Source organism: Homo sapiens, chromosome 1, assembly GCF_000001405.40.
Source record: "Homo sapiens chromosome 1, GRCh38.p14 Primary Assembly".
NCBI classification, from domain to species: Eukaryota; Metazoa; Chordata; class Mammalia; order Primates; family Hominidae; genus Homo; species Homo sapiens.
In genome coordinates this window covers 66,626,007-66,641,623 of record NC_000001.11, presented here as the reverse complement: position 1 = coordinate 66,641,623, position 15,617 = coordinate 66,626,007, and the positions used below count along the sequence as shown (strand labels likewise).

Sequence of the window (15,617 nt, the reverse complement as noted above, 5' to 3'; positions counted from 1 at the left end):
TTTATCAAGGGGGAAAATAAGAGAAATCAGACGCCATTTCTCAAGGAAACACACCCAACAAATGTCAGATCTAGGTTTTGATCCCAGGTGTTTCAGACTATACCCTATGTCCTAGAGGGGAGGAAGATGAAGCATTTGTAGGTGGCCCTGTTGAAGTTGAGGTTATAGGTCTGTCAGTGAGAGAAGGCAGAGTTGGAGAGTTAGTTTTGGGAGTTAATAAAGCAGTAAAAATGCCATAACCATGGAGAAAGAAGAGGGTCTACATACCATGGAAAAAGCCCCCATTAAAAAAATCTTTTTTATTGTCTATATTTAAGGTGTACAATATGTTTTGATATGCATATACATAGCAAAATGACTACTACGGTTAAATTTACATTTCTGTTACCTTCCATAGTTGCCCTTTTTATGTGTGTGTGTATAAGAGCACTTAAACTCTTAGCAAATTTTTAGTACATTAGATATCTAGACTTCATCTCACCTTACTGCAAATTTGTACTCTTTGACCTACTTCTTCCATTTCCTTTCTCTTTCTATCCCTGCTGACTACTTTTCTACTGTTTCTATGTATTTGACTTCTTTTTCTTTTTTAAGACAAAGTCTCTGTGTTGCTCAGGCTGGAGTGCAGTGGTGCGATCTCAGCTCACTGCAACCTCTGCCTCCCGGGTTCAAGCAATTCTCGTGCCTCAGCCTCCCATATTTGGCTTCTTTTTAGATTCTGCGTATAAGCAAGATCATACAGTATTTTTCTTTCTATGTCTGAAACTCACCATTTTTTTGAGCATTTATTGTGGTCTTCCTCTTTTCCTCCTTCTTCAGTTCTCAGAGTTGCTTTTTTTTTTTTTAATACAAGTGTACTGAGGTAACTTACCTGCTAAAAACCCGTCCCTGGCTTCTCGCTGCATTTAGAACAAAAGTCAAGTGCCTCTGTGTAGCCAATAAGGCCCAGCAGGGCTGGCTCCTGCCCCTCTCTCTAGCTTCGCATTTGTAATTATCTTCCATTGATCCCCTCTCAGCCACATGTTCTCTCCTTCCCAACATTTGTGATTTGGGTGCTTCAAGCACTGTCTCATTTCAGGGACCTCATCAACTCTGTTCCCCCTGCCTGCAATTCTCTTCCCCCAAATGTTCAGCCTGTTAGCCTCTATGTATATGTTAGGCCTTTGCCCAGAGGTCACATCCTCCCTGAAGCCTTTCCTGCCAAAATCAGGTTGACTTGCCTCTATTCTGAAAGCTTCTAAGAAGTAGAACCAGGGCTGAAACACCCAGATTTAATATTAAAAAAGCATTTTTTGAACAAATACTACAGGCTAGGCAGGTTACTGAAATGTTTTGCAAATAATTAGCTCCTTGAATCCTTGCAACAATGACACGTGGTAACTACTGACTTCTTTTTTGCTACCCAGCAAATAACTACTCCAAGGCCACACACAGCTGATATGTGTGGGGGCTAGATCAGGGTGTCCAATCTTTTGGCTTCCCTAGGCCACATTGGAAGAAGAAGAATCGTCTTGGGCCACACATAAAATACATTAACATTAACAATAGCTGATCAGCTAAAATAAATAAATAAATCACAAAAAATCTCATAAAGTTAGACAAGCTTGGACAAGATCTTAAACCCAGTTCTGACAGACTCTATTGTTCTTAGCCCCATCCTAAATATGCCAGACACTTCCTAATGACATGGAGAGCATTTCGCTTATTTCTAAGTCCTATTATAAGAATGCCTCAACTCATTTTTAAACTGTAAAATACTTAATAAAGAGAAACACTCTTCTGATACTCACATATCTTTCCCAATCAATTTCCGCATAAAATCCATTTGGTGCCCCATTGCTTTTCTTCTGTAATAAATTTGAAAATGAATTTAGAAGGAAAACATTTGAATAAAAACAAAGGGACAAAGAACATTTAACTCTTATCTGCATTTAGCAAAAGCTATCAAAATCCAGCACTGGAAAGACATATTAGAGCAGTTTATTAAGGAGCCACATTTGTGTAATGGAATGGTAAATCTAGCTGCTGTGACACTGCATAAAAGGGCATATGTACTTATTTCACAAAAGATTGTAGGATACTGAGGCACAGGGATATTAACGATGAACTGTTCAAATTTTATTCAATTACTGAAGAATTAGCAGCACCTTTATTGTAATGGAATCCTCTAAATCTACAGGAGATATAGCCGTGTATATATGTATTTTAAATGGTAACACTTTTACCTCCATGCTGCTATTATATACAATTAGTTACAACATATTCAAAGAGTACTCATCCAAGTCATTAACTAGTCTTTTAGCATTTTAGCACTCAATTTTTTTGTAACTACCCCCTTGATAAAACACAGAGTAAGTCAGCTCTAAATCAGTTCATTCAGTTCCTAGTTATTAAAAATAATGTTTTTTTCAAATGGCTTTTCTTATCAAATTTTAAAAATAGAATTTGAGGATTAATGGTGGATTTTTGTCACCCATGTGATCTGTGCCTCCATGAGCACGCATCATTGCAAGTTTACTGGATATCAGCACTACTCTCTTCTTAAAGTTTTCTTTGTCCCCTAGTACAACCATGACACATGGCCACAAGCACTTGAGCAAAGATGTGGCATCACCCAAATAGATATTGCCAAGATTTTCTATGTCTTGTGAGCAAACGACAAACACAAATCACGTTGGTAAAGGAGGGTTCATTCAACATTCTTATATTTAGCACATGGAGCAAGGGTATGTCACTGCGCATAGCAGATCTCAGAACAACACACATCAAATGGTGACGCATGAGGCTTGGACACAGGACCTCTAATTTTGCAACAACAAATAAAGGCCACTTGAACTGCAATGTAAACAACTAATACCCAATTTGACAAATGGGTGGAGAAATTAGATTTTTATGTGTGCACATAGGATCACTAGATAACCCAGAATAATCGTTATCATTGAATAACAGTGAATATTGACTGGGCATTCTATGGACTAGCAGGGCTTTGGCAAGGGTGAATAATGCACAAGAAATAGATAATGTGTTCATCCCCTCTTTCTTCCAATATACTACCACTGCACTAGAATTTACAAATATAAGAACTGGGCCATGCCTCCACAGACAAGCATCCATGGACATAAGGTCTGTGACCATCTCCCTCTTTGTCCCACTTCTGACATAGATTATTTGTATGCAGACTACATCATTTTAATCTTCCCATATAATTGCCTTCATTGAATTAGTGCTTCAGTGGTATTTTTTCTACTTTGAACAAAGGTCTTTGTAAAACCTGTCATACGAACTCTGCCTATGTGTACGTTACGAAGCCACTGTTGAGAACTGGTCCATTACATAATGTACCACTTAATAAAAATTATTCTCTCACTTGGGAATAGACAGGGCTCCTATTTTCTCTTTATCATATTTACTTTCTCTTTTAATTTCTGCTTTACCAGTCTGTTTGTATATGACTTCTTTGCAAAGTGCTCCACTCCTTCTTAGAAAGTATGTATAATAAACAAGTTCAATATAGACATTTAATTTATATTGATAGGAGATCAAAAGGACTAAGCAGATTCCAGAAAAGTAAACTCATGAATTTTGTGATCTAGGATTGTTACCCAAAACCACAGATTAGATAAATTACTGAGTTCAAAATTTTCAAAGTTCTACAGTTTGCTTCCATGATAATCTCATCTTCGTAACTAAGGCCCTTAAAAACCAAGATGGCTTATATGTTCAGCTAAACAGTTTATATATATATATATTTGTGTGTATGTATGTGTGTATGTATATATGTGTGTATGTATATGTACACACATATATACATACACACATACATACACACACATGCATATATATAAATAGACATACACAGATACCTATACACACACACAGATATATATATATACTTGTTTTTCTTTCCTTCCTGACAACATATATCTAATACTGTAGAAAGAAAGCTGAGTTCTAAATTTGACGATCTAGGCAGAGTGAAAATTTCCCAGTTTGCATGAAAACCAAAGGAAGATTGAGATAAAGGGAAAACAAAACTTGTAGAAATTTTTTCTTCAAAAATAGGGACACTTTAAAAACGAATACTAAAAACAAACAACAAATCATAACAATACATTATTTTTGGCAGATATTCAACACACACACACACACACACACACACACACACACAAACACACACACACACGGCTTTATTAGAGGAATTTGGTCTCAGTTATGCCAGTGGATTCTTACAAATATCTTTGGTTTCCCAAGTGAAAATTATCAAGTTAAAGTTAGGCCAGAGCCTGGATGGAATTCTTCTGGCTCAAACCCAAGAAAAAAACAATTCTTTGTTGGTTTAACCATTGAGAAAGGTGCAACTGTAGTACTAGTAATAGTGAAGATAATGAGTCTATTGATTTTCAAATGGAAAACTTTCAAGAAGAAGAAGCAAGGAAGAATATCAGTGAAGTGGGGAAACACCACTTAAAAACCAGGCTTAAGAGTAAAGGAAATATCAGTTAGGCACCAACATATAAACAACGATTTTTCTCTTGGAATTGTAATTATATAGATTTTTACCTTTTCCTTTTTTTTTGTATTTCTTAAAATTCAAAAATCCTACCTTAACATAAGTAACTTCTATAACTTGAATATGATTATTATTTAAAGATAACTGAGACTCACAGTGACGCTAATCATGTCTTCATAGGTATTTTACTTTGGTTAGGCATACATTATCTGTTCTTAGATAACATGATGGGCTAAATAGATAAATATAGTGACAGTTAAGTTCAATTATACATTCATCAAAATTCTCAGTTTCCATTGGGAATGCCTCTGGCTTTCAAGGTCAGCTCATGGCCAGGTAATGATCCTTGGGTGGGGCGTGTTAAAGGTACATGACGTACTGCCTAAATATTATCTTTTCTCCACTGTGGTAGACCTGACTCACTTTGTAAATAATTCTATAGAACAGCACGGCCCAATAGAAATATCTGTGAAGATGGCAATATTCTACCTGTGTGCTATCCAAGATGGTAGCCACTAGCCACAAGTGGCTATGAAGTACTTGAAATGTGTCAAGTGCAACTGAGGAACTGAATTTTAATTAAATAGTCACATGTGGCTACCATAATGTACAACACGGCTATAGGTACTACAGAGTTTGGGCTAGGGTCAGCATCCCCGACTCAATGTCCTTTGGTCAAATACACTGGCTCCTACAGATCAAGTTTCTGCCAAATTCCTGATGTTATTGAGACAGTGCTTATCCTAAGAAATGACTACTCAATTTATGTGGTGATATTTCTATTATAGCCAAAGGCTTCTTTATAGATAGTAGATTCTTTTTAAAATTTGAATTCCTGTCCTTTGTCGATGAAACAGGTAACACACATCTTTTATGTGTGATCACTCTTTAAAAGTATATTCAGATGTCAGTCCATAAAGTCTATATGGTTAATTTAAAAATTGGCCCCAGACATTCAAGAAGTCATTTGGAAATACCTAAGAGTTTTCTTAAATGGAGTAAATGAAAACTACTGTGTTTTCCAAATTTTAAATTGGGATTTTACTCACTGTTTTTTATAACCCTTTGGAAATTTTAAACTAAAATCTGTTTCCTTACCGAAACTTTTTTTCCTCCTTCACGCGCACACTCTGCTTTGCTATTGTAGGGTGGTTCGTGTGGGCTGGGCTGCTGGAATTGATTGTTTTCATGTAGAAAAAAGTGGTTAAAAGATCTGCTTGTTCTTCAAGACACATATAAAGAATTACATGGAGTCAGCAAACATACCATAGAAGAAACCATCTCTAGGCCAAATCATACGGCCTACCAATCTTGGCAGGGTTCCTTAAGCAAAGAGTGGACTTTGGGGCCCATAATGAGGCTCTATTCAGCAGGCCAGCTTGGTTAGGCCAAGAGAAGAAGGGAGGAGGAGGAAGATATGTCCCAGGCACTAGGGACCATGTGGATCTATTTCTCATACAGCCAGCATTTAATTTACACGTAGAGAACAGGCACAAGGACACACAAGAAGAGACTGAATAAAAATGTTTGTATTTCTAACCTAAGTAGGAAAAGTTCAGTTTAGCCTGGATCAAAGCCTTCCTGTGGGTCACAAATACATACAGCACACACAGCTGATAGCTCCAAATCTGTGCCCTTTCCTGCACACCTGTTCAGGGTGATAAAAAATGACCTTCTCACAGCAAAGGCTATGACCCTGATGTTCCAAGTCTATGTGTGGAGGGAAACTGGAACTGCTTGGAAAAAAGTTAGTTTGCCCTGCATAAATTAGAGTTTGTGTCTAGGTTAGGATGCATTGTCACACTCGGACACCATGACAGACAGCTCTGCCAGTGATGGGTACATTCAGCCAGTGGGGAGCAAGGCCCACCTTCATGCATGCAGCCCTGCTGCGAAGCCTCTATAGGTTAAACCTCAGAAGCATTGTCACCAGAGATGAGCTTCGTTAGATTTTGAGAAACTGGCATTAAATAAACAACAGTACATTAAAGCTTGTGTTTACCAAGTAGTTTATAAGCATTAGGTAGGTGCACCACCACCTGTAGTTTGTGGAACTACATTAATGAAACCACACATTTCAACACTTGACATTCAAAAGGCAATAATTTGAAAGCTATATCAGCCAAGCAAAAGTGAACTGGGTCTATAGAAACAAGGGCTGAAGGAAATCAGTCTGAGTTTGAAGGAAAATCAGGTCGGTATCTCTGAGAACTGAATGCAGACAGAAACTCAGTTAGCACTGGTTTCCAAAATTCAGTGACCATAGTAAACGTGGAAAACTTGGAGAACATTTCTAAATGGTAAAACCAGCAGCTGGCTAATAATGTCCAATTACCTATAAAGCCTGTTTCTGAGGAAGTGCATTTATTTTGAACGTAGCCTTTTCCAGAACAGGTCTGTGTTATTTCCTAAGAAATCAAAATTAACTAATTTATCTTTCCTAATAATCATGATCAGTGATATTTATGGCATTTCTAATTAAGTAACAAAGTGGGCACAACTGCTAATAAAGAACGTCATATGATTTGGAATGGTGAAGGACTTGGGGAACTCAGGCATGAAGCCCTGCCCTGGGGGGATGCGTCCCCAGAATGACTGCTGGGTTCATTAATGCAGCACATACTCATCATTGCCTGCCACGTGTCAGCTGCTGTACCAGGTACCAGGGTGCACATTCTACCAGAGATTTAAGTTGGTGCTGCTCAGAACACAGAGAATAGTGAAGCAGCAAGGGGGCCTTAGAGACAATGAGCAGGGGTTTGGAGAAAGAAAATAAGGACAAGACTGAGAGTGGCAGAGGTAGAGAAGCAAGGAATAGCAATCCAGTCTGGGAGCAGCAAGGATAGAAAGCAGAGTAGCTAACAGAGCTTTGCAAAGGTCAGAGGGGACCAGAGAACCCAGGGAGGGGACCAAGCCGGAAGCAAAGAAGAGACACAGAAGCAGAGAGTACCTGAGACAGAGTTAACGAGAGGGCTCTGAGCCAGAAGCAAGAGGTGAGGAGAAGCTGAGTCTTCTGGGTCTTTTTTTTCCCCTGCTGAATAGAGCCTTGATTATAGTGTTACCCAATGTCTGATCAATTTCAGTCTATTTTCTTAACATTTCATGGTAAGAACCACATGAAGGCAAAAGGCGCCCCAAAGCTAAGAACCTTGAGTCAAGTGTGGAAGGAAAATTCCTGCTATAGCTGCAATTAACACCCCAGTTTATGTATAATATTGTGAAGGGTGATTTAAAAAATTTTTTAACCATCAGGTTTATTTTAGTTCCCACTCCAGCCCAATGAGCCTAATGTAAGTCCATTTTTTTTTCAGTAACAGCTGTTCTTTTGAACCTTCTGAATAGGCATCTGATTTAGATTTGAAGGAAGTCATTTTAGGAGTCGGTGCAGACTCCCGTAAGCACAACTCGGATAAATCTAAGCCCATGCACCACGGACTTCTTTAAAAAGCAAGAATTCTGGTGGCCAGCAAGGAGTCAGAGTTAACTGTTAAATCTAAACCCAGTGGACACATTTTCCTCTTTCAGGCTGTAAATTCAGGCTTAAGTGGTTTTCAAGACCATCTCCTACTTTTGAATTTAATATAGAAAATGTATCTGCAGCACAACTACTAAAGGGGAAAAGCTTCTTTGAATTTTCTTGGATCTCAGCTTCATTACAACTTTGTGGCCTCTGTTGGAGAAAAACATTCTCCCATAATGAGCTTTTACATCATTAAATTGGAAATGAAATAACAGTTGATGGGAGCAGCCCCTGCGTGAACTGTCTGGCTTGTGACCCACCATCTGTTTTCCTGCCTGCTCTGGGGCAGGGTTTTAGGTAAATGCCATAAATAAGTCTAGCTTGACCAGGACTATGTTTATGTCCCATGCAATTAATATAGAAAATTCCAATAGTGAGAGGTCCAAAAAGTCATTCAAGCTATTTTTTTCCCTACAGGAAAAAAAAAGGGCTTTGAGAAATTTAAACATAGCATATATTGAAGCACAAACTCAGTAAAAATGGTTATTTAAATACTTACAATTCCATCTCTATCTGGTGAACCTCTGTAACAAAAAGAAATTGATAGCTATTATGATAAGGAATCATTCTTGCCACATAGACTAAAGTACAACAGTAAGAACCAATAACCACCATCCTCCCCTTCCCCAGCATTCCCACCCCAGTAAACCTGGCTAATGAAAACTAAATCAAAACAAATTGGTTGAGTGGTATTTAAGTGTGGGGTATGTGTATGTGGGAAGGAAATTCTCATTAAAAAATTGCAGCCCAAAGCCACATGTGGGAAGGGTAGTGCCTTGGTTCATTTTTGAGAGGAGAGTTTATTAAAGAGACTCCACTCTAGCTGGCTCCATTTAAAACTATCCCACTCTAGCTGGCTAACTGTCCCACTCTAGCTGGCTCCATTTAAAACTATCATGAGGCAAGTAAACCAATTTGCTCTCTCATCTATGTATTTTTGAGAGATGGGGTCTGGTTATGTTGCCCAGGCTGGAGTGCAGTGGCTATTCACAGGCGCAATCAAAAGCGTACTACCCAGCCTTGAACTGCTGGGCTCCAGCGAACCTCTGCTCCAGCCTCCCGAGAAGCTGGGATTGCAGGAGAGCATCACTGAGCCCAGCCGTTTTATCTTTTCTTCTGCGAATGGTCCTGAATTGCCTCCTAGATGAAAAAGCTTCTGTGGTATTTTTCAACTTTATTTTGAGAATTGGTACTTTCCTCCATATTTCTCTGTTTACCTCTCCTTCCATTATAGAAGAGCAGGAAATGGAGAACAACATTTTGCTAAATGCCTCCTTCTGATGACTAAAGCCCGGGGCAGCTATTCTATGGTGGCACTATGCTGCAGTGGTCAAGAGCAAGGGCTTTCGAGTAAGATGAAGCTGGGTGTCCAAATAGTTCTATGACCTTGAACACTTAACCTCTCTAAGCCAGTTTAAATAAGATAATATATAGAGAGAACTTACAATAGTTCCTGACACATGGTATTCAAAACTGTGAGTTGATTATAATTTCTTTTCTCTTCCAAGATGTCTCTTCACTAGGAACACAAAACTGCCCACTTACAGCCACACTGGACTTTAGGGCAGTGTAGGAGAGGTATTAGAGGTATTTTGGAAAACTGGATTACAAGAGCAGAGGGAGAAACTAAAAGGTAGCCACAGTAATTTTATAACCTCCCATTTTAATTCAGTTTTTAAGAGGCTAAAACATACAGCGATACGTATTATGCTTCGAAAGGGAGCCTCATTATTTGGAAGAAAACCTTAATAAGTGCTTGAGGTGAACTTTGATGTCTTGAGGAGTTTGGTGTGGGGTTGGAACCATTCTTCGGAAGGTGCAATCAGGTAAGAAAATTATTGCTTCATGGCAGGGAGCCCGTGAGAAGAGAGAGAGAGAGAGAGAGAGAGAGAGAGAGAGAGAGAGAGAGAGAAAGAGAGAGAGAGAAAGAGAGAGAGAGAGCAATGCAGAGAGTTGGTAGGATGCCATCTGGACTCCAAGGTGTGATTCCCTTTCCCCACCAACATCCCTTCAAAATTAGCAGAATATTCTACTTGGATTATAATACACTTGACAGAGTGCATATTTTTCATAACTAGTGAGTTCTGTGTCCACACAGATGCAGAGGTGAATCAGTGATACAGGGACAAGAAACAGAGAAGATTCTGATATTGAAAGACCATGGGAATTGACAGAAATCTTGAGACTTTTGGACATTACCTGGATGTGGAAATTAACCAGTTTGAAAAAATTTTATTTAAAATAGAATGATAGGAAGAATCTTGGCCAACAAAAGTGCTTGTAATGAGCCAGGTGATTGGTTAGGACCAAAGGATAAAAATAATGAAAACATATTAATCTCAGAGAGAATGAAATGGGTGAGTAAATCCAGTGGGTTATCATGGTCATAGTAAGCCCAGGCTAGCAGGAGAGCACTGAGGATAGGTACCAATCCATACTCATCAAAGCCAATTCTCTTTTTGTATCTATATACTGAGTCAGTCTTTCTTTTTTTCTTTCTTTCTTTCTTTCTTTCTTTCTTTCTTTCTTTCTTTCTTTCTTTCTTTCTTCCTTTCTTCCTTCCTTCCTTTCCTTTCCCTTCCTTCCTTTCCTTTCCCTTCCTTCCTTCTTCCTCTCTTTCCTCTCTTTCTTTCTTTCTCTTTCTTTCTCTCTTTCTTTCCTTCCTTCCTTCCTCCCTCCCTCCCTCCCTTCTTTCTTTCTTTCTTTCTTTCTTTCTTTCTTTCTTTCTTTCTTTCTTTCTTTCTTTCTTTCTTTCTTTCTTTCTTTCTTTCTTTCTTTCTTTCTTTCTTTCCGGAGTTTTGCTCTTGTCACCCAGGCTGGTGTGCAATGGCAAAATCTCAGCTCACTGCAATCTCTGCCTCCCAGGCTCAAGTGATTCTCCTGGCTCAGCCTCCCAAGTAGCTGAGATTATAGGCATGCATCACCACGCCCAGCTAATTTTGTATTTTTAGTAGAGAAGCAGTTTCACCATGTTGGCCAGGCTGGTCTCAAACTCTTGACATCAGGTAATCCACCTACCTCAGCTTCCCAAAGTGCTGGAATTACAGGTGTGAGCCACGGTGCCTGGCCAATATACTGAGTATTTCTTACTAGGACTTCAACTTACTAGGACTTAATATCTCCACATATGAGTAATTCTTACTAGGACTTCAACCTCTGCTAATGGAGCTGGGAGAGAAGTGATTGCATCAACTTTTGGGTAGGATGTGTTTAGAGGCACTGATCCATGTGGAGATGCCTTTGGGAACAGCAAGAAATAGATGCGGCAAAAGCTCGGAGATTGGCCTGGCTGTGGTGTTGCTCACTGTGAATCCAGGTACAAGGTCATATCAGTAGGGGATCTTAAATGGGAGGCATTTGACCTCATGCTTATTGCAGCCGTTGGGATGGTCTTCCACAATTTTTAATCAGAGAAACTGTGATTGTACATAGCAGCACTGGAGTCCTATTCTGATCCTTTGTCTTCTCGACTGATGGAAATGTGGCTCATGTGTCCTGTGGAGTCAGTCAGCATGGTGGCTAAGGGCACCGGCTCCAGTGCCAGACTGCATGGGATCAACCAATGTCGATTTCCTAGCTGCAGAAGCTTGGGCAAGTTACTTCACCCCTTTGTTTCTCAGTTTCTTCATCTATAAAATAGCCATCATAACAGCATATATCCCATAGGGCTATTAGAGGATTCAGTGGACTAACATAAGTGAAGAACCTGAGACAGTCTCTAGAACATAGTAAATGCTCATTAAATGTTTTCTAGAATAATAATTTTTATACACTATGACCCAGGTTAGGGAGTGAAGAGATTTTAGCAGCCTCAGACACTTGGGCATGTGTTCTAATTTCACTTTCTAACCCCCTCTAATGAGGTTTTATATTGTATTTTAAAATAATTTTTTTCTTTTTCATGGCAGACTTATTGTATTTGCTGACTTCTATTTTAAAAAGAATCATCTACCATGGACTTTTGGCATCTATATTTTAAAGTTTCAGTTACCTTTTGTAACTACTGTCTTTTTTTTTTACCCTCCTATCTGTCTGGATTTTAATTCTACCCATTGATATCTTTTCTTTTGGGTGATGAAAGCACAGACACTGGATTTTAGACTAGAATATGGCCTCCAAGTCTTAGTTTGTGGGTAGCCTTCAGAAAGTTACTTATCCCCCTTTGGCACTGATATTTCTCTTTAAAATTGATGTATTACTGCTAACCTTATTTAATTACTAGGAAGACTAAAAAAGATATCAGCGCAACATATGTCCTGCACAGGGCCTTCCACTTAGCACAACCTCTCTCCCTTCCTCTATCAGCTGCTGTAATGATGACCAAATCAGGAAATTCTGGTCCTAACCCCACTGTATATCTTAGGAGGTTCAATCAGCTGAAGTTGGTGCTGGTGTGTCTACCCTAGCAGGTTGCTGAGCAACCCACAGTGAGTTGTAGCAGCCCTGAAAACAGTTTGCATCAACAAGGCTTCAATGATCACAGACAAACACAAGCATTTACTAAAGCTGAAGGGACAGCAAATTGCTAGAGTGCTTTCCCAACCCCTTTGCATTTATGATTTCTTTTCTGAGAATGATATATGATCCAATTACAGAGTTCACGAAAGCATTAGGGAGTTCATGAAAAGCAAAGGCTTATACTAAACATACTAAACAGCTTGTCCTTTGACCATCACTGATGGTGGAACCAGCTTCAGCTATTTTGCTATCACGTAAGTAATTTGGGACTCTCAAATGATAAGTTAAGGAAGGATACTTGGGATTCTTTAAACAAATGTCTCGTTAGAGTACCTCAGAGAGATATTGGGCCTCTACCCGTAGCTGTGAGGAATAACTCAGTTATTTTAATAACTTTAGAAATGATGATGGAAGAGTAGTGCTTTGGCTACATGTAAATTAGTTCAGCCTGCCCTGTAGAGGTTGTTCAACCTTTTCTCTCTCGAGAAAGCTTTTTTCCATTCCAACTTTCCTCACATGCCAGAAATCTCTGGTGCAGTCAATTACAGACATTGTCTTCATTCAGAAATGGATTTGGTTTCCATTAACGATGTTCTCCTGAGATCCATCGAATAGTGTCCCACAAAACACCTGGCACTATATGAGTCCTATAATGCCTTCCCTTATATGACTCGTATAGTGTCTGGCCCTTTAGGGAAATTCGATTCCATCTAGTGTAAATTTCTTTGTTGTTGTTGTTTACAGGTGTGGAAACTGAGGCCCAGCAAAGTAAAGGGTAATTCCCAAAGCCATGGAGTTTTGGCAATGCTGGGACTACAGCCCAGGTCTTCTGATCTAGTGAAGGCATCATCACATATTCTGGGTGGTTAATGATTAGAAAATGGCAAGGGAATATAAATCATGCTGCTATAAAGACACATGCACACGTATGTTTATTGTGGCACTATTCACAATAGCAAAGACTTGGAATCAACCCAAATGTCTAACAATGATAGACTGGATTAAGAAAATGTGGCACATATACACCATGGAATACTATGCAGCCATAAAAAATAATGAGTTCATGTCCTTTGTAGGGACGTGGATGAAGCTGGAAACCATCATTCTCAGCAAACTATCGCGAGGACAAAAAATCAAACACCACATGTTCTCACTCATAGGTGGGAATTGAACAATGAGAACACTTGAACACAGGAAGGGGAACATCACACACCGGGGCCTGTTGTGGGGTGGGGGAGGGGGGAGGGATAGCATTAGGAGATATACCTAATGTTAATGACGAGTTAATGGATGCAGCACACCAACATGGCACATGTATACATATGTAACAAACCTGCACGTTGTGCACATTGTACCCTAGAACTTAAAGTATAAGAAAGAAAATGGCAAACTTCTTAAGAAACAATGTAAATTATATAATCCTCAGAAAAATATTGCTAACTTAATTATTTAGAAAAATTTGCAGGACAACAGTAAATGTAATATTCTTGAAATAAATAGTTACAAAAGAAAATGCAAAAAGAAAATATAAGAACTTAACATTTGGCATCTAGACAAAAAATAACTTTGTTCGCCCAATCCTTTGCACTCTTTGGCTTAAAAACTTTCATGGTTTCAAGGTGGCCCACTGCCTATGGAAGTAGCCCACACACTTCAGCCTGGTACTTAAGGCCCTTCCTATCTGGTCCTGGTCTCCTTTCCAGCCTTGCCTTCCATTATCACATTTACCTGTAACCCCAAGTAGACAAACTGCCCCATTTGTCTTGTCAGTAAATGCCTAGTGGACTTTACTACCTTTCCACTTTTGCTTTTGTTGTTCCCTTTGCATGAAATACACATCCTCATCTTCTTGAAGGCCAAACTCAAGTCTCCTCCCCCACCCCGAAGCATCACTGATCATCAATCCAAATATGAGATTTTTCACCCTCAAATTCCCATGAAATCCCATCTTAGTTGCTTGTAAGGAACTTACACATACTAATTTGTGTCAGTAATAATAAGAGTACCAGCAACTGCCATTTGCTGAGCATTTACTAAGTATTAGGTACCATATTAGTCATTTCAAATATGTTACCTCATTAGTTGTACAAACAATAATTTATGTAGTAGATATTTTATCTCATGAATCATAAATTCTTAAAGGACAAGGGCCCAGGGAAATACTCAGGATCTTGTGACAAAATTTACGCATGATAAAAATATACAGAATGAAAAGCTAAAGGTGAGAATAAATGTGGCTTTCTTCATTTTCACCTGTGCCCATACAACTGTTGCTTTTCCCATTTTCTAACTTTCTTTCAGAGATTCTAGCCAAATGAGGGGTATAATGGGCTTGATTCTGACGTACAGCAAACTACATCAGTTCTGCATTTCTACCTGGTCACAACCACCTGCAGCTGAATAGTTGTGCTCTCCCTACACTGGTCTTGGGCTGGAGTCTCAAGTTCCCGGCCAGTGGACTTCACATATATAAGTTACCTGCTTGGCTGCAAAAGGCAACTGAGGTTTTGTGTCAGAGCCAAATACTTCTGCAGGAGAATTCAAGATGGTCAAATAAGTGGAAGGAAGTTTGTGGAATGAAACTGTTATGTCATTGCACATTTTCAGAGTCTATCAGTGTCTGTGGGCAATTAATTCTCTTGGATATGACACTTAAATATGTAAAAGCATCCCCACAGTTGTTTCTGGCATTTGTTTCTTATTCACTGCTAAATATCCAATAATTCCTGAATTCTGTTGGTTGATTTACAATTTGGCTTGTACAAAATCTTGGCATCTCAAGTAAGAGCTTGGAGATGTTATCTAGTCTACATTTCTGTTTCTGGCTAGGTCTAATCTATCCAAACAGGTGTTTTGTTGTTTCTTTAGTTCAGATTGTAAGGTCAACCCTATATGTGGAAATGAATTATTTTTATCCTTCATAAAAGTAACAGTCACATTTTCTGCCTCCTGAGACTGCTGGGAAGTGTAATGATCAAAAAAAAAAAAAAAAAAAAAAGAAAGAAAGAAAAATGTGATAAAAACTGAACACATGATGAAAAATTTTTACCTTTTTAGCATAAATCTAAGAACTGTTTATATTGAATAATTACAATTTACTCAGAAATGAGGAAAGCAAATAGTACACAA

At 38.8% G+C, this 15,617-nt stretch overlaps 1 protein-coding gene and 1 non-coding gene across 56 annotated transcripts in view; both read right to left on the bottom strand.

Moving 5' to 3' along the window:
* SGIP1 (SH3GL interacting endocytic adaptor 1) overlaps positions 1–15,617 on the bottom strand; it is a 217,779-nt gene that overhangs the window by 109,516 nt on the left and 92,646 nt on the right. For 19 of the 55 annotated variants that reach the window (NM_001376535.1, NM_001376549.1, XM_047432059.1 and 16 more), the window contains 3 exons: positions 8,530–8,554; positions 5,609–5,680; positions 1,791–1,847 (listed from right to left, as the gene is read on the bottom strand). In NM_001376535.1, coding sequence (NP_001363464.1) covers positions 1,791–1,847; positions 5,609–5,680; positions 8,530–8,554 — 154 coding nt within the window. Of the gene's footprint in view, positions 1–1,790; positions 1,848–5,608; positions 5,681–7,460; positions 7,545–8,529; positions 8,555–15,617 lie in introns of all 55 variants that reach the window. The other 36 variants (NM_001376542.1, XM_005271270.5, XM_047432051.1 and 33 more) reach the window with 3 other exon arrangements.
* MIR3117 (microRNA 3117) lies at positions 13,107–13,184 on the bottom strand. Its single transcript, NR_036060.1, has one exon. It is a non-coding gene; the product is annotated as a microRNA 3117 (primary transcript).